At 37.3% G+C, this 24545-nt stretch overlaps 1 annotated feature.

The window, feature by feature from the left end:
• Positions 849 to 2048: an enhancer, noted in NCBI's record as "MED14-independent group 3 enhancer chrX:45339311-45340510 (GRCh37/hg19 assembly coordinates)". NCBI's record gives its function as "activates an origin of replication core promoter dependent on BRD2, BRD4, P300/CBP and CDK7 cofactors, and independent of MED14, by STARR-seq in HCT116 cells {active_cell/tissue: HCT116}" and the evidence as "EXISTENCE:reporter gene assay evidence [ECO:0000049][PMID:35650434]".

Raw genomic sequence — 24545 nt, forward strand, 5'->3', positions numbered from 1 at the left:
TAAAGATTTTTCCAATGCAGGATATTTTAAAAGGGCTAATGAGCTAGTGTGGTATGAGTCTACACTCAGCAACCACTGCATTTTTAACTTTTTTTTAATGCTCAAAAATAAACAACAAGATCCCTGAGTGCTTTTGTTGGCTGGGCTGTGTATTTTAAAACACTTACTCAGAACACCGCAGTTATTTGAAGGATGTGTCATACAGTCTGCTGCTGGCTTAAGAAACTATGAGATGGGGGACGTTCAGTTGCCTTTTTAAACTTATTTATTTAATTTTAGAAATAAATGTGTAGCAAAAGGAGTTTTGATTCTATAAGCTGAGAGTCTGTGTACAAATTGCAAACTTTTGAGCTTTAAGTCTCCTCTGTGACTCTAGACTGAGTGGTTGTCTAGGCTGACCCCAACCAAGGCAAGCAACCTCAGCAGTATGTTTAATACTTCAACCCACTTGGTCCTCAGCTCCAAATGCAAGAGTTTCTGAGCAAGTTAATCTTTTCCTTGTACTACTGCTGTTCAGGTGCATTCAACATGAATTTATTAAACAACTATAATGTGCCAGGCGTTGTGTTCGATGTTGGGAGACTAAAGATAAGATGTAGAACCAACATAAGAGAAATGGACACATAAACACACTCTCTGATATCATGTGGTATATGTGGTTACAGACGTAGGTATGGGCATTTAGCCTACCTGAGTCATAGGAAAGCTTCCTGGTGACTAATAGATTTTTGAAGGTTTCTAAATTTCACCTCTAGCGTGGAAATGAAGGTGGGGAAATGAAGGTAGTCTAGGCAGGGAAAACATTACAACTAAAAGTAAAGAGGCATGAATCAGCATGATGAGTGCTAGAAACTATACCAAGCATGAATAGCAAAGAAGGGAGTGGTAAGGGATTAGGCTGGGGGAAATCAACAGAACAGTTGACGTCAAGGGGAGTAGACTTGTTCAAAAGCTTAGACAGTATCTATATGTTATGAGAATTTTTCAAAGAGACTGTCAGCAAATATAGGGGGAGAGGTTAAGCCTAGGGAAGGGGCAACACTGGAGCTCAGTAGTGTAGGGAGAATGAGTAATAGGCCAGCTATGTGTTGTTTCAGACTTCCAGGCATCCATAAGGATCAGGGATCAGACATCAGGAACAACTCACCCATGTGATCCATGTAGCTGTCAGAAAATTCATGAGGAGCTCTCGCCCAGAAATCTGATTGGCAGTGGGAAAAATCCAAAGTGATACATAAATTAAAAGTTGATTCTCTTTGTCTTTGCAATACTGAAATGAGAAAAAGACAAAACAATTGGCTTACATCTCTACAACCCAAGGAGATCAGAGCACTTTGTACCCAAAGGATTGTCAGTACCTTTCTCCTCAGAGGGTCATTTGCACAGCAAATACTCATTTGTCTAGGGGTAGACATAATTGTCTTCAGTTTTGGGGAGATTTAGGGGTATAACCATCAACAGAAGTTCGTTCATAACTATTCAGGTAGTTCATGGCATTGAGTGTGGTAATAATTACAATTTCAAGATTACTTCTCTGTTCTCCTTCCAGATGGGAGGGCTCATTAACAGTTCTAGGTAACAGAGGCTTTCTGCTGGAGTTTAGCCATAACACCTTGGTTTCAGGTTAAAATATACCATAAGAAATAATTTTGAATCCCAAGCCCAGAGTTTTATTCTCCTCTCCAATCCAGCATAATTACATTTTCATTTTGGTAGGCAAAAGATATTCTTATCAATAAATGGTGTTGGGTCAATTGGAAAATCACGTGGAAAGAAAGATGTATCTTAACCTCTACTTTATACCATAACCAAAAATTAATTCCAGATAAATTGTGGACCTCAATGTAAAAGAGAAAACAATAAAACTTCTGGAAGATAGTGGAGGAGAAGAGCTTCATTACCTTGGAAAAGATTTCTAAATAGGACACAAAAAGTGCCAACCATAAAGGAGAAGATCAATAAATTGGACCATATTGATCAATAAATTGGGCTATTTTAAGAATTTATATTCTTAAAGAACACCAATAAGAGAGTGAATGGGCAAGCCACAAAACTCAGATCTAGAATATTATAAGGAAAATTCAGATACCGCAATGGAAAAATGAGCAAAATATTTGAATAGGAATCCCACAAAAGAGTATAATCAAATGGCCATTAATTATCTAAAATGGTATTAACCTTATTTTTCATTGAGGAAATGGCAAGATGACAGTAAGAATGGCCAAATTTTAAAAGACTGACAATACTAAGTGCTGGTGAGAATATGAAGCAACTGGAACTCTCATACTCTGCTGGTGGAAGTGTAAATTTGTACAACCACATTGGAAAACTACATGGAAGTATCTACTAACACCAAACATGCACATACCCTATGACCCAGCAATTCCACTCCAATGTATATACTCAACAGAGATGCATACTTATGAATCCCAAAATACTTGTACAAGTATGTTCATAACAGCCTCAACCCAGAAGTGGGTTGAGCAGTCTATCAACTACAGAATGGATAAATTATATTAAATAAAAAAGTGAAATACAACAACAAAAATTAAGGATCATCTCCTACACACAGTAACTGGATGAATCTCCCATACATACTATCAAATGGAAAAATCCAGATACAAAAGCGTACTTTTTCTATGACTCCCTTTGCATACACTTCAGAACTAGGTTGAAACCAATATATAATGGTAGAAAGGATATTGAGAGGAGAGGTAGTACTAAATGAAAAGGAACGTAAAGTGGGGGAGCTCCTGGGATGTTGGTAATGTTTTATTTCCTAATCTGGATGGCGTTTTCATGGGCATATTCACTTTGTGGTAATTCACAAAACTAGATGCTAAGAATGTGTACACTTTTATTTATGTAAGTTTTGCTTTAATAAAAATGCTTATTAATTCTTTTTTCATTTTGAAAGGATTACTCTGGCTGTTAGGTGAAGAATGAATAGGGGAACAGGTAGGAGCAGATGCAGGATGACTAGTTAATTGACTATTGGATATTTCAGGCAAGAAATAATGGTGAATTGGGCTTGGATGGTGGTAGAAAAACAAAGGCCTGAACAGCCATATGTAGGAGAAGAGATTGGTAGGAATTGGTGGTAGACTAAAAAGGGAGTAGGAACAAAATCTGTCGAAGAAGGTTACTGGCTTATATAAATGGATGAAACATTTTGGCATTCACTAAAATAAGGAATATGGGAATATCGGCATAGATTTTTTAATAGCATCTTTATTAAGATATAATTTGCATACTATAAAATTTACCCTTTAAAGTGTACAGTTCAATATTTCACTTGTCATAGCATATTTGTAGACATAGAAAACCATTACCACTATCTTATTTGATAACATTTTCATCACCTGAAAAAGAAACCCCATATCCATTAGCAGTCCCTCACCATTGTGCTTTCCTCCTCAGCCTCTGACAAAAACTAATCTACTTTCTGTCTAATGATTTGCCTATTCTGGCATTTCATATGAATGGAATCATACAATATGTCAGTGGTCCCCAATGTTTTTGGCACCAGGGACCAGCTTCATGAAAGACAATTTTTCCATGGACCATGAGGGAGGTATGGTTTCAGGATGATTCAAGTGCATTACATTTATTGTGCACTTTATTTCTACTATTATTACATTGTAATATATAATGAAATAATTATACAACTCACTATAATGTGAATCAGTGGGCCCTAGCTTGTTTTCCTGCAACTAAACGGTTCCATCTGAGGGTGATGGAAGGCCATGACAGATCGTCAGGCATTACATTCTCATAAAGAGTGTGCAGCCTTGTTTGCATGCACAGTTCACAGTAGGGTTCATGCTCCTATGAAAATCTAATGCCACTGCTGATCTGACAGGAAGTGGAGCTCAGGTGGTTATGTAAGTGATGGGGAGCAGCTGTAAATACAGATGAAGCTTTGCTTGCTTGCCCGCCACTCACCTCCTGCTGTGCGGCCCGGTTCCTAACAGGCCACAAACTGGTACTGGTCTGTGGCCCAGGGGTTAGGGACTCCTGCAATATGTGATCTTTTGTGACTGGCTTCTTTTACTTATCATAATTTTTTCAATATCCACCCATGCTATACCATGTATCAATACTCTATTCTTTTTTTATAGCTGAATAATATTCCACAGAATGACTATACCATGTTTTGTTTGCCCATCAGCTGATGGACATTTGAGTTATTTCAACGTTTTGGCCATTATGAATAATCCTGCTGGGAACATGCGTGTGCAAATTTTTGTGTGGAAACATGTTTTCTTTTCTCTTGGGTATATACCTAAGAGTGGAATTACTGAGTTAGGTGGTAACTCTGTGTTTAACATTTTGAGAAGCTATATAACTGTTTTCCAAATTGGCTGTACCATTTTACAGTCCCATCAGCAATGAATGAGTGTTCCAGTTTCTCTACATCCTTTCCCACACTTGTGTTGCCTGACTTTTTTATTACAACCATTATTGTGGGTGCGAAGTGGTATCTCATTGTAGTTTTAATTTGCATTTCCCTAATGACCATTGATACTGAGCATCTTTTCATGAGTTTATTAGACATTTATATATCTTCTTTGGAGAAATGTCTATTCAAATACTTTGCTCATTATTTAAAATTGGGTTATTTGTCTTTTTATTGTTTGGTTATAGAAGTTCTTCATTGTAGATACAAGTCACTTAACAAATTTACGTATCTGTGAATGGTCCTTTTACTTTGTTGATAGTTTCCTTTGAAGAACAACTGTTTTTAATTTTTATGAAGTCCAATTTACCTATTTTTTTCCATGACTGCTTTTGCTTTTAATGTTGTAGCTAAGACTCCATTGCCAAATCCAAGGTCTAAGAGTTTTATAGTGTTAAGTCTTATGTTTAGGTCTATGATGTATTTTGAGTTAATGTTTGTGTATAGTATGAGAAAGAGGTCCAAACTTGTGATTTTACATGTGGATATCCAGTTGTTCCAGCACCAATCTTGCACCCCTGAAATCAATCTCACTTGGTTGTGATATATAAACTTTTAAATATATTGTCAGTTTCAACTTGCTAGTAATTTGTCAGGGATGTTTGCATCCATGATCGTAAAAGATATTGGTCTGTAGCTTTATGTTCTTATTTTTTTTTTGTTTGGTTTTGCTATTAGATTAATACTGGCCTTATATAATGAGTTTGAAAATGTTCTCTCCTCTTCTGTTTTTTGAAACAGTTTGTGTACAATTTATATTAATTCTTTTTTAAATGTTTGGTAGAATCCAGCAGTGAAGCCATCTGGGCCTAAGCTTTGCTTTGCAAGAATTTTTAGAATTATCAGTTTAATCTTTTTTCCTTTTATAAGTCCATTAAGATTGTACATTTCTTCTTGAGTCAGGATCAGTGGTTTGTGTATTTCTAGGAATGCGTCCATTTCATCTGTGCTATCTAATTTGTTTACAAACAGTTTTTCATAGTATTAACTTTTCTTTTTTTTCATTTGTATAAGGTTGGTGTAATATTCCCTTTATTTCCTGATTTTAGTAATTTGAGTCTTTTCTAGCTAGAAGTTTGTCAATTTTGTTGACTTTTAAAAGAACCAACTTTAGCTTTATTGATATTCTTACTGTTTTTCTACTCTCTATTTCATTTATTTCTGGTCTAATCTTTATCATTTCCTTTATTCTTCTTGCTTTGGGTTTAGTTAACTCTTTTTCTAGTTTAATACAGTGGAAGTTTAGGTTACTCACTTGAGGTCTTTCTTCTTTTTCTTCTTCTTTTTTTTTTTTTTTTGAGACAGAGTCTTGCTCTGTCACCCAGGATGGAGTGCAGTGGCGTGATCTTGGCTCACTGCAACCTCTGTCTCCCAGGTTCAAGCAATGCTTGTGTCTCAGCCTCCTGAGTAGCTGGGATTACAGGCGCATGCCACCATGCCCTTCTAATTTTTGTATTTTTAGGAGAGACGGGGTTTTGCCATGCTGGCCAGGCTGGTCTCGAACTCCTGGCCTCAAGTGATCCACCCACCTCGGCCTCCCAAAGCGCTGGGATTACGGGCATGAGCCACCACACCCAGCCTCTTTCTTCTTTTTTAATATAGATGTTTACAACCATAAATTTATTTCTAAAGCATGGCTTAACAACATAACAAAACTGTTATATATTGTATTTTTGTTTTTCATTCATTTCAAAGTATTTTTCAGTTTTCCTCATAATTTCTTTTTTGACCCACTTGTTATTTGGAAGTGTGTTGTTTAATTTTGACATATTTGTGAATTTCCCAAATTTCCTTCTGTTATTCATTTTAAATTTCATAACATTGAGGCTGAAGAACATACTTCGAATCATTTTAATCTTTCTAAATTTATTGAGGCTTGTGTGATGGTTTAACGGTGGTCTCTCCTGGAGAATGTTCCATTGAATTTGAAAAAAAAAATACATATTCTTCTGTTGTCAGGCAGTGCTATATGGTCTGAAGCTTTGTGTCCCCTCAAAATGTATATGTTGAAACTTAATACCCAATGCGATAGTATTAAGAGGTAGGGCCTTTGGGAGGTAATTATGTCATGAGAGCAGAGCCCTCATGAATGGGATTAGTGGCCTTATAAAATATACTTGAGAGAGCCTATTTGTCTCTTGCTCCATGTGAGGACAAGGCTAGAAAGTGCCATCTGTGAGTAATGAGCCCTTAACGGATACCATATCTGCCAGCACCTTGACCTTGGACTTCCAAGCCTCCAGAACTGTGAGTAATAAATTTTTATTGTTTCTAAATTACCCAATCTAAGGTATTTTGTTTTAGCAACCTTAATGGACTAAGACAGAAATTGATACTGAGATAGAGTGCTGCTGTGACAAATATCTAAAAATGTGGTAGTAGCTTTGAAACTAGGTAATGAGTAGAGGCTGGAAAAGTTTGGTGGTACATGCTGAAAAAAAAAGCTTCTATTGCCATGAATGGACCATAAAGGGTTATTCTGGTGGGGGCTCAAAAGAAATAGAGAGCTGTAGAGAAAGCCTCAATCCTCTTAGGGATTACCTAAGAGGTCATGAACAGAATGTTAGTAGAAATATGAGCAGTAAAAGCTATCCTGCTGAAGGCTTAGACAGAAATGAGGAACATGTTACTGAAACTGAAGGAAAGGCAACTATTGTTATAAAGTAGCAAATAACTTGGCTGAATTATGTCTGTGTCCTAGTGTTTTGTGTAAGGAAGAACTTCTGAGTTGATGAAATAGGATATTTGGTGGAAGAAATATCTAAGCAAAGTGCTGAGGATGCAGCGTGGTTTCTCTTGACTACTTATAGTAAAATATGAGAAGAGAGATTAAAGACAGAACTTATAATCAAAAAGGAAGCAGAACTTAAAGATTTGGAAAATTCTCAGCCTGGCCAAGTTGTAAGGAATAAAAAAGCATGTTCAGAAGAGACCACCAAGAGTGTGGCCAAGCAACCATTTGATAGGGAGATTAGTATGGATAGAAAAAAGCCATATGCTATTCATCAATACAATGGAAGAATGCTTCTGAAGGTATCTCAGAGAACTTCAGGGCTGCTCTACCCACCACAGACCCAGAATGCTAGGGTCTCGGGGGCCGAATGATTTCCAGGCTCTGCTCCCCCAATTCTGGTGTAGTACTCCTGGGCCACCCCTGCTGTGGTGCAAGTGAGACCAGGTGCAGCTCAAGTCACTCCTCTGGAAGGCACAGGCAGAAAATCATGGTAGCACCTACACAGTGCCATCTCCATGGATGCACAGAGTATATGAGCTACGGAGGCATGACTACCTCCATCTAGATTTCAAAGGATGCCCCAGAGAGCCTCAGGGCCCAGGCAGAAAACTGCCACAGAAGCAGGGCCACACAGGGCATCTTTGCTAGGGCAATGCCCAGCAGAACTGTGGAGTTAGAGTCACCACAAAGAGCCCCCATTAGGGCAATGTCCACAGGACTCATGCAGGAGGGGCTGCCCCTGAGACTCCAGAACTATAAAGCTACCAGTGTGCAACTCCAGCCTGGGAGAGCTGCAGGCAACCAACTTCAATCTATAAGAGTTTCTGTGTGGGCTGTGCCCAGCAAAGTGATGGGGGTGGGGCCGACTGGACCCTTGGAGGCCCAACCCTCACCTCACTATGTCTGGAAAGCAGGACATGGAGTCAAAGAAAATTATTCTCAAGCCTTAAGATTTAATGCATTTTTCCTGTTGTGTTTTAGACTTATTTGGGATCTATTACTCTTTTCTTTTTTCCTATGTCTCTCTTTTAGAATAGGAATATCTACCCCATGCCTGTCCCATCACTATATTTTGGAAACACTTAACTTGTTTGATTTCACAGGCTCAAAGTTGGAAGGGAATTTGCCTCAGGATATGTCCCACCTTAAGTCTCATTCATTTCAGATTTAGATCATATTTAGATGAGACTTTGGACTTCAGGCTTTTGAGTTGATGCTGGAAATATGTCATCTCATCCTAGTTAGAATGACAATTATCAAAAAAAACAAAAAATAAGAAATGCTGGTGAAGATGTGGACTTTGAGGCTAATAGAATGAATGTATTTTGCATGTGAGAAGTACAAAAATTGCGGGGTGCCAGGAGCAGAATGCTATGGTCTAAAGCTTTGTGTTCCCCCAAAATTCATATGTTAAAACCTAATACCCAATGTGATAGTATTAAGATGTGGGGCCTTTGGGATGTGATTAGGTCATGAAGGCAGAGCTCTTATGAATGGGATTAGTGCCCTTATAAAAGAAGCTTGAGGTAGCCCCTTTACCCCTACAGCTATGTGAGGATGCATCTAGAAGGCACCATCTAGGGGTAACAGGCCCTCACCTAACACCAAATCTGCCAGCACCTTGATCTTTGACTTTTAAGCTTCCAAATTTGTGAGCAATAAATTTTTACTGTTTCTAAAATACCCATTCTAAAGTATTAAAGTATTTTCTTATAGTAGCCCAAACAAGCTAAGACAAGAAGGACATTCTATAAATGTCTGTCAGGTCTGGTTGGTTTATAGTGTTATTCAAGTTTTCTATTTCCTTGTTGATCTTCTGTCTAGTTATTCTATCCATTATTGAAAGTGTGGTATTGGAGTCTCAACTATTACTTTTAAATTGTCTATTTCTGGCCAGGCACAGTGGCTTATGCCTGTAATCCCAGAACTTTGGGAGGCCAAGGCAGGTGGATCGCTTGAATTCAGGAGTTAGAGACCAGCCTGATTAACATGGTGAAACCCTGTCTCTACTAAACTTGGGAGGCAAAGGTTTCAGTGAGTCAAGATTGCACCACTGCACTCCAGCCTGAGTGATGGAGTGAGACTCTATCTCAACAACAACAACAACAAATTATCTATTTCTCCCTCCAATTATGTTAATTTTTGCTTAGTGTATTTTGAGCTCTATTGTTAGTTGCATGCATGTTTATGATTGTTATGTCTTCCTGATATAGTCACACTTTTATCTTTATAAAATGTCCTTCTTTATACAAATGGCCAACAGGTATATGAAAAAATGCTCAACACCACTAATCATCAGGGAAATACAAATTAAAACCTCAATGAGGCATCATCTCATCCCAGTTAGAATGGCTATTATAAAAAAGGCAAAAAGTAACTAATGCTGGTGAAGATGTGGAGAAGGGGGAACTCTTATACACTGTTAATGAGAATGAAAATTAGTGCAGTAATATAGAAATCAGTATGGAAATCCCTAAAGAAACTGAAAATAAAACTACCTTATGATGCAGCAATGCCACTTCTGGTTGTATATCCAAAGGAAAGGAAATTAGTATGTCAAAAAGATATCTACACTCCCATGTTTATTGTAACACTATTCACAATAGCCAAGATATGAAACAACCTAAGTGTCCATCAACTGATAAATGGATAAAGAAAAATGTGGTGTATATACACAAAAAAATATTTAGCCATATAACAGAACAAAATTCTGCAATTTGTGGCAACATGCGTGAGCTTACAGGACATTATGTTAAGTAAAATAAGCCTGGCACAGAAAGATAAATACCACATGTTCTCACTCACATGTGGAAGCTAAAAATGTTGATTTCATAGAAGTAGAGAGTACTATAGTGGTTACTAGAGGCAGGAAAATGTGGCGGGTCAGGGAGGGGATAGCCAAAGGTTGGTTAATCGATACAGAATTTCATCTAGTTAAGAGGAATAAGTTCTAGGGTTCTATAGCAATATAGAGTGACTATAATGAACAATTTATTGTATATTTTCAAACAGCTAGAAGAGTGGATTTGAAATGTTCCCAACACAAAGAAATAATAGGTGTTTGAGGTGATGGATATGCTAATTACTCTGATTTGATCATTTCATATTATATACATGTATTAAAATATCATACTTTACCCCATAAATATGTATAATTATTATGTGTTAATTAACAATAGTTCTAAAAGCAAAAATAGATTTGTTTATAAAGATGTCCTACATTTGCAATGAATCACAGAAATAATAACTAAATTTGTCTTCTATTTTATTGATTTTTTTGAGTGGCCAATGCTGATATTATTTGAAGTCATTTTAAACTTGTATATTTTCTCTGAACAATACTAAATCAAATAAAGTTACTGAGAGTGTTCCAAAAATTGTCCTCCTTTGTTGGTAGAAAAACTTTTGTCTTCAAGTCTATTTTGTTGGATATTAATACGACCACTTCAGGTCTCTTTTAGCTACCATTTTCACAGTGTATCTTTTTCCATCCTCTTACTTTCCTCTATTGGTGGCTTTTAATCTAGTGTGTCCTTTATGGACAGCATGTGGTTGGATCATGATTCTTTACTATACTTCCAGTTTGTGCCTTTGGCTTGGAATGTTTAAACTGTATACATTTTATATAATTACTGATAAAATAGGAAGTACTTTTTTGCTTTTTAAAAAAAATAAAATAATAATGGAAGCAATTTAGTATATATATACTTTAGAATTTCTGTTTGGTTCTTTTGTTATAATTTCTATCCCTTTTATTCGTATTCTCTATTTCATTAAATATCATTCTCACGCATTCCTGCTTTTTTGTATGTCTCATAATTTTTTGTTGAAAACTGGACATTTTAAATAATATAATGTTGAATCTCTGGCAATCAGATCCTTCCCTCCTCAAAGTGTGTTGTTGTTTTCACTGTTGGTTTAATGACTCTCCTGGATCAATTCTATAAAGTCTGTATTCTTTGTTGTGTACTGTGACTAAAGTTTCTGCTCATTTAGCTTAGCAGTCAGCTAATGTTTGAATGGAGATTTCCTTAAATACTTTGAATCACAAATCTTCCACACTTTGCCAAAGGGCTCTGAGTGAGTGTTGAGGAACACTTTCAATGCCTCAGCAGTTTGAAACTTTACCTGATCCTTAATTTCCTGCTTTCAGAGAGCATTAGTTTTAGCCAGAGGTGACAAATTAGGGCCTTGAAGTATTTCCTGGGCTTGCCCCTTCCAGTTGCTGCTAGATTGCTGGTTTTCACAGCTACTGTGATTTTGAGGGTGCTGGTTTTCAAAGACTGCTGCAGAACTGGAGCAGTGGGGATGAAAATAAGGCAAGTTACAATACCACAGAGCTTACCATTCTTACTGGGACTCAGCCAATTTTCTTTTTAAAAATTTTTTTAATTTTTAATTTTTGACGATACATACTAGGTATATCTACTTATGGGGCACATGAGATGTTTTGATACAGGCATGCAATGTGAAATAATCACAACATGAAGAATGGGGTATCCTTCCCCTCAAGCATTTATCCTTTGTGTTACAAACAATCCAATTAAACTCTTTTAGTTATTTTAAAATGTACAATTAAGTTATTATTGACTGTAGTCACCCTGTTGTGCTATCAAATACTAGGTCTTATTCATTCTTTCTATTTTTGTTGTAGCCATTAACCATCACACCTTCCCCCCACCAGCTCCACTGTCCTTCCCAGCCTGTGGTAACCATCCTTCTATTCTCTATGTCCGTAAGTTCAATTGCTTTGATTTTTAGATCCCAGAAATAGGTGAAAATGTGTGATGTTTGTCATTCTGTGCCTGGCTTATTTCACTTAACATAGTGATCTCCAGTTCCATCCATGTTGTTGCAAATGACAGGATCTCATTCTTTTTTTTTTTTTTTTTTTTTTTTTTGAGACAGAGTCTTGCTCTGTCACCCAGGCTGGAGTGCAGTGGCGCAATCTCGGCTCACTGCAACCTCCACCTCCCGAATTCAAGCGATTCTCCTGCCTCAGCCTCCTGAGTAGCAGGGATTACAGGTGCCCACCACCACACCCAGCTAATTTTTGTGTTTTTAGTAGAGATGGGGTTTCACCATATTTGCCAGGCTGGTCTGGAACTCCTGACCTCAGGTGATCCACCCACCTCAGCCTCCCGAAATGCTGGGATTACAAGCATGAGCCAACACGCCTGGCCAGATCTCATTCTTTTTTATGGCTGAATAGTACTCCTTTGTGTATATGTATCACATTTTTTCTATCCATTCATCTGTTGATGGACACTTAGGTTGCTTCCAAATCTTGGGATGGTGAACAGTGCTGCAATAAACATGAGAGTGCAGATGTTTCTTCAATATACAGATTTCCTTTATTTTGGGTATATTCCCAGCAGCGGGATATCTGGATCATATATGTTAGCTCTATTTCTAGTTTCTGAGGAACTTCAAACTGTTCTCCATACTGGTTGTACTAATTTACATTCCCACCAACAGTGTACTAGGGTTCCCTTTTCTCCACATTCTCACCAGCATTTATTATTGCCTGACTTTTGAATATAAGCCATTTTAACTGGTGTATTATATTAGTCCGTTCTGATCCTGCTAGTAAAGACATACTCAAGACTGAGTAATTTATAAAGGAAAGAGGTTTAATTGACTTACAGTTCAGCATGGCTGGGGAGGCCTCACAATCATGGCAGAAGGCAAAGGAGGAGCAAAGGTACATCTTACATGGTGGCAGGCAAGAGAGCATGTGCAGGGGAACTGCCCTTTATAAAACCATCAGATCTCATGAGACTTATTTACTATCACAAGAACAACATGGGAGAAACCTGCCCCATGATTCAATTACCTCCCACTGGGTCCTTCCCATGACACAGGTATCTTTACAGCAGCACTTCACTCTTGGTAACAATGTGCTATATTAGTCTGTTCTCATGCTGCTAATAAAGACTTACCCAAGACTAGGTAACTTATAAAGGAAAGAGATTTAATTGATTCACGGTTCAGCATGGCTGGGGAGGCCTCACAATCATGGCAGAAGACAAAGGAGGAGCAAAGGCACATCTTACATGGCAACAGGCCAGAGAGCATGTGCAGGGGGAACTGCCCTTCATAAAAAACCATCAGATCTTGTGAGACTTATTCACTATCATGATAACGGCACAGGAAAACCTGCCTCCATGATTCAGTTACCTCCCATCAGGTCTCTCCCACAACACATGTGGATTATGGGAGCTACAATTCAAGATGAGATTTGGGTGGGGGCACAGCCAAACCATATCAACTAAGGTGAGATGATATCTCACTGTAGTTTTTATTTGCATTTCTCTGATTATCAATGATGTTGAGCACTTTTATATATGCCTGTTTGCCATTTGTATGTCTTCTTTCAATAAATGTCTATAAAAATCTTTTGCCCATTTTTTGATCAGATTGTTTGACTTTTTTTTTTCCTGAAGAGTTGTTTGAGCTCCTTATATATTCTGGTTATTAATCCCTAGTCAGATGGGTAGTTTGCAAATATTTTCTCCCATTCTTCACTTTGTTGATTGTGTCCTTTGCTGTGGAGAGCTTTTAAATTTGATGCAATCCCATTTGTCCATTTTGCTTTGCTTGCCTGTACTTGTGGGGTATTGCTTAAGTAATCTTAGCCCAGATCAATGTCCTGGAGATTTTCCCAATATTTTCTTGTAGGAGTTTCAGTTTGAGGTCTTAGATTTAAGTCTTTAATCCATTTTGATTTGATTTTTATATATGGTGAGAGATAGGGGTCTAGTTACATTCTTCTGCATATGGATATCCAGGTTTCTCAGCACCATTTATTGAAAAGACTGCCTTTTCCCCAGTGTATGCTCTTGGCATCTTTGTCAAAAATGAGTTTACTGTAAGCGTGCGGATCTGTTTCTGGGTTCTCTATTCTGCTCCATAGGTCCATGTGTCTTTTTTTATGCCAGTATCATGCTGTTTTGATTACTATGGCTCTGTAGTATAATTTGAAGTCAGGTAATGCAATTCCTCCAGTTTTGTTCTTTTTGCTTAGAGCTATTCTGGATATTTTGTGGTACCATATACATTTTAGGATTCTGTTTTATATTTCTGTGAAGAATGTTATTGGTATTTTGATAGGGATTGCATTGAATCTACAGGTTGCTTTGGGTAATATGGACATTTTAACAATATTGATTCTTCCAATTCATGAACATGGATTATCTTTTTATTTTTTGGTGTCCTCTTCAATTTCTTTCATCAATGTTTCATAGTTTTCATTATAGAGATCTTTCATTTCTTTGGTTAATTCCTAGGTGTTTAATTTTATTTGTGGCTATTGTCAATGGGATTACTTTTTAATTTCTTTTTCAGATTACTTGCTGTTGGTATGTGAAAATGGCAGCTTGTGGGTCTGTCATATATGGCTTTTATTATGTTGAGGTATGCTCCTTCTATATGCAGTTTTTTGATGGTTTTTATCATGAAGGGGTGTTGAATTTTATCAAATTATTTTTCAGTATCAGTTGAAATGATCATATGGTTTTTGCCCTTCATTCTATTACAATGTATCATGCTGATTGATTTGCATATATTGAACCATCCTTGCATCCCAGGGATAAATTTCACTTGGTCATGATGGATGATCTTTCTAATGTATTGTTGAATTCTGTTTGCTAGTATTTTGTTGAGAATTTTTGCATAAATATTCATGAGAGATAGTGGCTTGTAGTTTTTTTTTTTTTTTTAATGTGCCTTTGTCCAGTTTTGGCATCAGAATAATGTTAGCCTCATAGAATAAGTTTGGAAGTATTCCCTCCTCCTCTATTTTTCAGTAGGGTTGATATTACTTCTTCTGTAAATGTTTGGTAGAATTGAGCAGTAAAGCCATTGGGGTCCTGGGCTTTTCTTTACCGGGAGGCTTTTTGTTATGGCTTTGATCTCATTACTTGTTATTGGTCTGTTAAGGTGTTGGATTTCTTCATGGTTCAATCTTGGTAGATTGTATGTATACAGGAATTTGTCTATTTCTCTAGATTTTCCAATTTATTGGCATATCATGGCTCATAGTAGCCATTAGTGATCTTTTGAATTTCTGCAGTATCAGATGTAATGTCTCTTTTTCATTTTATATATTTAGATCTTCTACCTTTTTCCCTAGTCTGGCTAAAGGTTTGTCTTTTTTGAAAAGTTAAACATAACTTTTTGACCTTTTGTTTCGTTGATCTTTTTTATTATTTTCTTCATTTCAAATTCACTTATTTCTTCTCTGATCTTTATTATTTCTTTTCTTCTACTAACTTTGTGTGAGTAGTTTGCTCTTGCTTTTTTACTTCTTTAAGATGCATAATTAGATTGTTTATTTGAAGTTTTTCCTCTTTTTTGATGTAGACACTTAGAGCTAGACGCCTCCCTCATAGTACTGCTTTTGCTGCATCCCATAGGTTTGGTATGTTGTGTTTCCATTATCATTCCCTTCAAGAATTTTTTAAATTTCCTTCTTAGTTTCTTCATTGACCACTGATCATTCAGGAACAGATTGTTTAATTTCCATGTCTTTGTATAGTTTCAAAAATTCCTCTTATTATTGATTTCTAGTTTTATTCTTTTGTGGTCAGAGAAGACACTTGATATTATTTCTATTTTATTGAGTGTTTTAAGACTTGTTTTGTGAGCTAATGTATAGTCCATCTTTGATAATGATACATGTGCTGAGGAAAAAAATGTGTATTCTGTGACCACTGGATGAAATGTTCTCTAAATATCTATTGGATCCATTTGATCTGTAGTGCATATTAAGTCTGTTTCTTTGTTGATTTTCTGTCTAAAAAATCTGTCCAATGCTGAAAGTGGGGTGTTGAAGTCTCCAGCTGTTATTGTATTGGGGCCTATCTCTCTCTTTAGTTCTAATGATATTTTCTTTATATATCTGTGGTGCTCATGTGTTGGGTGCATATATATTTATAGTCATTATCTCCTATTGTTGAATTGACCCCTTTATTATATAGTGACCTTCTTTGTCTCTTCTTATAGTTTTTATCTTGAAATCTATTTTGTCTGATATAAGTATAGCTACTTCTGCTCTTGTTTGGTTTCCATTTGTATGGCATATCTTTTTCCTCCCTTTATTTTAAGTCTATATGAGTCTTTATAGGTGAAGTCTGTTTCTTGTGGGCAACAGATCAATGGATCTTGTTTTTTCATCCATTCAGCCATTCTATGTCTTTGGATTGTAGAGTTTAGTTCATTTACATTCAATATTATTATTGGTAAGTAAGGACTTACTCTTGCCCTTTTGTTATTTGTTTTCTGATTGTTTTGCAGTCTTCTTTCTTTCTTTCCTTCCTGTCTTTTTTTAGTTAAGATGATTTTCTCTGGTGATATGATTTATTTTCTTGCTTTTTATTTTTTGTGTATCCATTGTATGTTTTTTGGTTTGAGGTTACCAGAAGGCTTGCAAATACTATCTTATAATCCATTACTTAACCTGACAAAAACTTAACACTGTTTGCTTAAACAAAGAAGCGAAAAGAAAATAATAAAAACTGTATGCCTTAACTTCATCTCCCTGCTTTTTAACTTTTTCGTTTTTCTATTTATGTCTTATTGTACAGTCTATGTCTTGAAAAGTTATTATAGTTATCTTTTTTGATTGGTTCATTGCTTAGTCTTTCTACTTAGGCTAAGAGTAGTTTATAACAACAGTTACTATGTTATAATAATCTGTGTTCTGTGTATTTACTACTACCAGTGAGTTTTGTACCTTCAGGTGATTACTTATTGCTAATTAACATCCTTTTCTTTCTGACTGAAGTACTCCCTTTGCATTTCTTGTAGGAGTGGTCTGGAGTTTAGGAAATCCCTTAGCTTTTCTTTGTCTGGGAAAGTCTTTATTTCTTCTTCATGTTTGAAAGATATTTTCACCAGATATACTGTTTTAGGGTAGAAGGTTTTTTCCTTCAGCACTTTAAATATGTCATGCCACTCTCTCCTGGTTCGTAAGGTTTCCACTGAAAAGTCTCCTGCCAAACGTATTACAGAGCTCCATTGTATGTTATTTGTTTATTTTATCTTGCTGCTTTTAGGGTCTTTTCTTTATTCTTGACCTTTGGGATTGATTATTTAATGCCATGAGGTGGTTTTCTTTGAGTTAAATCTGCTTGATGTTTTATAACTTTCTTGTATTTGGTTATTGATATCTTTCTCTAGGTTTGGGAAATTCTCCGTTACTATCCCTTTGAATTAACTTTCTACCCCTATCTCTTTCTCTACCTCCTCTTTAAGGCCAATAACTCTTAGATTTGCCCTTTTGAGGCTATTTTCTAGGTCTTGTAGGCATGCTTCATTTTTTTTTATTCCTTTTCTTTTGTCTCCTCTGTGTATTTTCAAATAACCTGTCTTCAGGCTTACTAATTCTTCCTTTTGCTCCATCAATTCTGCTATTAAAAGACCCTGGCACATTCTTCAGTATTCCAGTCAAATTTTTCAGCTCCAGAATTTCTGCTTGATTATTTTTTAATATTTCAATCTCTTTGTTAAATTTATCTGATAGAATTCTGAACTTCTTCTCTGTATCATCTTGATATTTTTTGAGTTTCCTCAACACAGCTATTTTGAATTCTCTATCTAAAAGGTCACATATTTCTGTTTCTCCAGGGTTGGTCCCTGGTAGCTTATTTAGTTTATTTGGTGAGGTCATGTTTTCCTGGATGGTGTTGATGCTAGTCAACAATCTTCAGTGCCTGTGTATTGGTGAGTTAGGTATTTATTGTAGTCTTCACTATCTGAGGTTGTTTGCACCCTTCCTTGTTGGGAAGGCTTTCTAGATACTTGAAAGGACTTAAGTGTTATTATCTAAGCCATATCTGCTTTAGGGGTCTCCCCCAGCCCCATAAGGCTATGGTTCTTGCAGACTCGTAGAGGTACCACCTTGGTGGTCTTGGACAGGATCTGGGAGAATTCTCTGGATTACCAGGCAGAAGTTCTTGCTCTCTTTCATTACTTTCTCCCTCCAAAATGGAGTCTCTCTGTTCTGACTCACCTAGAGCTGGAGGTGTTGTGACACAAGCACCTCTGTGGCCACCACCATTATGACTGTGCTGTAGAGCACTGGATCTCACCCAAGGCTTGCTGTAACCACTCCCTGGCTACTTCTTATGCTTTCTTAGGGCTGAGCTGGCACTCAAAACATAAGACAGTCCTTGCCACACTTCTTTCCCCTTTCTAAAGGCAGAGTAGCCTCACCCTGTAGCCACGGCCACTGTAGACCATGGGGAGTTCTGCAAGACTATTGCCGATTTTCCCTTAAGACCCAAGGGCTCTCAAGTCAGATTGTGGTAAATGCTGCCTGGCCTGGAACTCACCATTCAGGGCAGTGGGCACTCTTCTGGCCCATGGCAGAGCCAGAGATGCCATCTAAGCATCAAATCCTGGAATCAAAGACTCCAAGAGCTCACTTGGTGCTCTGCCCAACTGTGGCCAAGCTGGTACCTAACCTGAAAGACAAAGTCCCCTTTGCTTAGTTCTTAGAGAGTACTAAGTGCTCTCTGTACCACACTGCTGCTGCTAGGGAGAAACGGGGGGTGGTGAGGGAGGGGTGACACTGGCGATTCATATAGTTAAAACCAGGTACTATGAAGGCTCACCTGATCTTATGAGGGTGTTTTCTTTGTGTAGTTTTTTTTTTTTCTTTTTTGCTAACAATGTTTTTGCTTTTTGCTTGTTTTTAATTGAACTAATTGTTCACATTTATGGAACACTGTGTGATATTTTTAACTTTTATTTTAAGTTCAGGGGTACACGTGCAGGTTTGTTACATAGGTAAATGTGTGTCATGGGGGTTTGTTGTCCAGATTATTTCATCACCCAGGTATTAAACCTAGTATCCATTAGTTATTTTTCCTGATCCTCTCCCTCCTCCCACTCTCCACCTTCCAATCAACTCCAGTGTGTGTTGTTCCTCTCTTCGTTCCCATGTGTTCTCATCATTTAGCTCCCACTTAAAAGTGAGAACATGTAGTATTTGGTTTTCTGATCCCGTGTTAGTTTGCTAAGGATGATTGCTTCCAGCTCTATCCATGTCCCTGGAAAGGACATCATCTCATTCTTTTATATGGCTGATAGTATTCCATGGTGTATATCTACCGCATTTTCTTTATCCAGTCTATCATCGATGGCCATTTGGGTTGATTCCATGTCTTTGTTTTTGTGAATAGTGCTGCAATGAACATATGTGTGCATGTGTCTTTATAACAGATTGATTTATATTCCTTTGGGTATATACCCAGTAATGGGATTGCTGGGTTGATTGGTATTTCTATCTTTAGGTCTTTGAGGAATTGCCACACTGTCTTCCACAATGGTTGAACTAATTTACATTCCCACCAACAGTGTGTAAGCATTCCTTTTTCTCTGCAACCTCACCGGCATCTGTTATTTTTTGACTTTTTTATAGTACCCATTCTGACTGGTGTTAGATGGTATCTTATTGTGGTTTTGATTTGCATTTCTCTAATGATCAGTGATGTTGAGCTTTTTTTCATGTGACTATTGGCCACATGTATGTCTTCTTTTGAAAAGTCTCTGTTCATGTCATTTGCCCACTTTTTAATGGGGTTGTTTTTTTTTCTTGTAAATTTGTTTAAGTCCCATATAGATGCTAGATATTAGACCTTAGTTCAGATGCAGAGTTTGCAAAAAGTCTCTCCCATTCTGTAGGTTGTCTGTTTACTCTGTTGGTAGTTTCTTTTGCTGTGCAGAAGCTCTTTAGTTTAATTAGATACCATTTGTCAATTTTAGCTTTTGTTGCAATTGCTGTTGGTGTCTTCATCATGAAATCTTTGCCTGTGCCTACGTCCTGAATGGTATTGCCTAGGTTATCTTCCAGAGTTTTAATAGTTTTGGGTTTTACATTAAGTGTTTAATCCATCTTGAGTTAATTTTTGTATATTATATTAAAAAGGGGTCCAGTTTCAATCTTGTGCATATGGCTAGCCAGTTATCCCAGCACCATTTATTAAATAGAGAATCCTTTCCCCATTGCTTGTTTTTGTCAGGATTGTCAAAGATCATATAGTTGTAGGGTTGCAGTCTAATTTCTGGGTTCTCTGTTTCATTCCATTGATCTATGTGTCTGTTCTTGTACCAGTACCATGCAGTTTTGGTAACTGTAGCCCTGTAGTATAGTTTGAAGTTGGGTAGTGTGATGCCTCCAGCTTTTTGTTTTGTTTTGTTTTTGTAGACAATTGTTAAATTGATGTCGTTGCAGGGGCGATGATCAGTGGAACCTTCTACTCCACCACCTTGTTCCCAGCCACTTTTCTTAAATCAACAATTCTCAAATTGTTGAAAGCCTTCGGTTAATTTCCAGAGTTCTGAAAGAAATGGTTTTGACATTTTTTGCCAGTTTTCTCATTGCTTTTATGGAGGAGCAGGTTTTTAAAGTCTTTACTTTACCATTCCAGAAGTGCTTCTTTAGGTACAGACTTGAGGGGAAATACCTTGGGTCAATTTTGGACTAATTAAATAAAACTTGTCTTTGAGACACCCAAGAGGAGATATCCAGTACACATTTAAATATGTGTCATATAACAGATGCAATGGTTAACATTTCTTTTAGGACTTCAGAGGAAGAGATGAGTTAACATATTTCTCAGCTCATTGAATGTTAATGTCATTGGTTTACACAAAGCCCCTCTCTGGTAGTTATTCTTGTATGTATGTATGTATGTATAATTACTCATATGACATTTCCATTCTTCCCTTTCATATGCAATCATTCCAATATGTTTAATATATATCTTTTGGCTCATTAAGTGTTCTCCCAAAATTTGTGTTATTGTTTTGTGTTCAAGTTTTCTGTGTGGTCAAGAAAATATTGTATCATATGTGTTTACACACATACACACCCACAACACACACACATCTGAGGGGTTCTCAAACATCGCTGCACATTGGAATCACCTGTATAGCTTTAATCTAATGTCTCACTTGCAGCTCATACCAAAAAATCAGACTCTATGATGGGACCCAGGCATTATAGTTCTTAAATTACTCCAGATGATCTCAATGCACAGCCAAGTTTGAGAACCGGTGATATATATATCATTCTATTTTTTTACTTTTTTAAAAACTCAGCACTGTTTTAAAGATCTGTCCATGTTTCTCCTTGTGTATCTAGTCCAGAGATCAGCAAACATTTTTTTTTGTAAGGGATATCACATAGTAATCATTTTTGGCTTTGCAGGTCATGTGGTCTCTGTTGCAACCCAGCTCTGCTGTTGTAGTGTGAAAACAGCCATAGATAATACCTAAAGAAACAGACATAGCCATTTTCTACTAGAACTTTATTTATAAATTATTTATAAACAAAAAGACAGAACCAAGAGGTGGGTCACAGTTTGCTGACCTCTGATGTAGTCATTTGTTTCCAATTACTGGGGCATCTCCATGGGGTGCATCTACTACATTCACCTATCCTCTCTTCTAGTTAGAGGTTAGTTTGCTTCAAATTCTTCACTACCACAAGTTATTTGCAATGAATATGAATCTGATCATCTACTCGTATCCTTATGGCCCCATATAATAAGTTATTTGGGAATTTCTGGACTATAGGGCATCAGTAACAGTAACTTTGACTATATAATTCTAGGTTTCTCCAGAATAGCTGTACCAGTTTACACTCCCACCAGCAGAACATAAGAATTCCTGGATCCTCACATCCATACCAACACTTGGCATTATCTAGCTGTCTAAATTTTGCCAGTTTAATAGTTTAATTTGCATTTCTGATTATAATATTTTGCTTCTTTGTGTGATTATCTGGTTAATAACTGTCTCCCATAAAATTCTATACATACTCCATGAGGGCGAACATCTTATCTGGTTTTGCTCACTCTTATTTCCAGTGCCTAGCGTAAGCCTTGCACGTAGTAAGTGTCCCATAAATATTAGTAGGACAAATAGGCAGATATGTGAGCACCTCTGTGTTAGTCATACAAAAACATTCATTTTTTATTGATAGGTTTGAACTGGTGACTTGAGAAAAGGGAACCTGTTTTGAGTAGCAGGATTCCTAACCTCAGGAGGACTTATACTTTGGGAAAGAGGGCAAAAGTATTCATGTATTCCACTTATTCAAAAAATATTTCAGCATTTATGCTATGTTCCAGGCATTATGCACAATGGTGAGCAAGACAGCTACAGTCCTACCCTCAGGGAGCCCACAGTGTGATAGAGATGTCAACTAGTTGGGCAAAATATTGTCATACAGTGAGAGGAATGGTTTGATTGGGTAAGTATCAGATACTCTGGAGGCTCTTAGTAGGTGTCCCCTAACATAATCTATTGGGAGTTAGGGAAGACAAGCACAGTGAAAATACAAGATGAATCCTTATGTATGCCCAGCAAATTTCCCTGGCAGTAGGATGTTAAAAAAAAAACTCAGGGACTCATAGAAGAGAACAGTAATATTCTAGCAGTGTTATACAAACAAGCTTAGATGTGTCTTCAAGATGTTCTGCAAATAGTGGAGTGATTTAAAGGAATTTAAGATAATTATACTTAAATCCCCTTTCTCCAATTGTTCTATTTTTGACTCCTAGAGAGGAATTGCTGGAGTGGTTCTCTTTCACTTTATTAGCTGTAAAATAAACATCTCCAGATGCTCAGAAATGTAAAGGCTACCATGCTTCTTTGGCCAATGGTTGATATGATTAGTAATGAATACAAAATCTTCAGTAAACCATAACTGATCTTTTGCCATTTTGAAAGTTTAACTGTTTGGGGAAAGTTTTGGATTCCTGCGAAAAGCAGATTTGAAATTTAATGGCTTGAATTTGCTTATTGAGCACTCCCTCATCCTCACCACTTATATACACACGCTGAAGAGTTTCACTAAGTATTATCATGGATTTAAAAATCTACGTAAAGTCCATAAAAATCTACAGTTTCTAAACAACAACAATTACTTCAGCTATCCTTGCTTATTCTTCCTACTCTTTCTGCATCATTTATTTTCATCTCTCCCTTCCTATTTTTTTCCTTTTTCCCCCACTAACAATGTTAGGAGCAAAGACTGATATTTATTTATTTATGTTTCATTTTATGATTGGAAGAAAGCCGCAGGCATCTGGTCCACACCCCACATTGTTAGAGACAGAACTTGGGTCCAGAAGGTTAACCAACCTGTTTACAGTCTCACTGCCTGTGTTTATTCTCAGTGGTGGTGGGGAGGTGACGGGGAGAATCAGGATAAATAGCAAAGAACAGTTCTAGATAAGGTAACAAGTGTTAGGAAAACTACTAGCACAGAAAATTAAAAGCAACAACAAAGAGCACATAGATGGCAGTGTTCCATCAACCCTCTATATTGTCTTGCTTATCTTTGAGGACTGCCATAGAATAAATAGTTCTTGAGCCCTACTACACTCAGGACACTGTTGTGGGCATGGCTAAGTGCTGATGTCTTCCCTGGTCTGAGGGTTATTCTCTGTTACCACTCCTCCGTTCCTGTCCCATACCATTCTTTGCCCTTCTCTGTCCTGCTCTGTGATCTTGGAGGAGGATCCCCATGGACTGCATCACCAGACTTCCTTACCACCACACCTTTAGTTGAGCTCAATCAACAGAGGCACAGGCATGAGATAGGACAAAAGGAAAACAGGTAGAAGTATTTCTTTCCACCCCTTCCTTCTCAGACAGCAGCTGAGATCTTCTATGACTATAGCACCATTGTGCACCCCCTTCCCTCCTCTATGTGACAGCTTACAAGGGGCTCTGTTTTTTCCTGTGTTCTCCTCAGGCTTTCAGATGGTAAAGGCTTCCTGCTGTGCTAGTCTCTGTGTGCCTCAACCCTCTTATTTGTTCTTTTTTTTTTTTAATTTTTTTAGTATTTATTGATCATTCTTGGGTGTTTCTCGGAGAGGGGGATTTGGCAGGGACATAGGACAATAGTGGAGAGAAGGTCAGTAGATAAACATGTGAACAAAGGTCTCTGGTTTTCCTAGGCAGAGGACCCTGCGGCCTTCCGCAGTGTTTGTGACCCTGGGTACTTGAGATTAGGGAGTGGTGATGACTCTTAAGGAGCATGCTGCCTTCAAGCATCTGTTTAACAAAGCACATCTTGCACCGCCCTTAAGCCATTTAACCCTGAGTGGACACAGCACATGTTTCAGAGAGCACGGGGTTGGGGGTAAGGTTATAGATTAACAGCATCCCAAGGCAGAAGAATTTTTCTTAGTACAGAACAAAATGGTGTCTCCTATGTCAACTTCTTTCTACACAGACACAGTAACAATCTGATCTCTCTTTCTTTTCCCCACATTTCCCCCTTTTCTTTTCGACAAAACCGCCATCGTCATCATGGTCCGTTCTCAATGA

The sequence above is a fragment of the Homo sapiens genome, chromosome X (genome assembly GCF_000001405.40).
Source record: "Homo sapiens chromosome X, GRCh38.p14 Primary Assembly".
In the NCBI taxonomy this organism is placed as follows: Eukaryota; Metazoa; Chordata; class Mammalia; order Primates; family Hominidae; genus Homo; species Homo sapiens.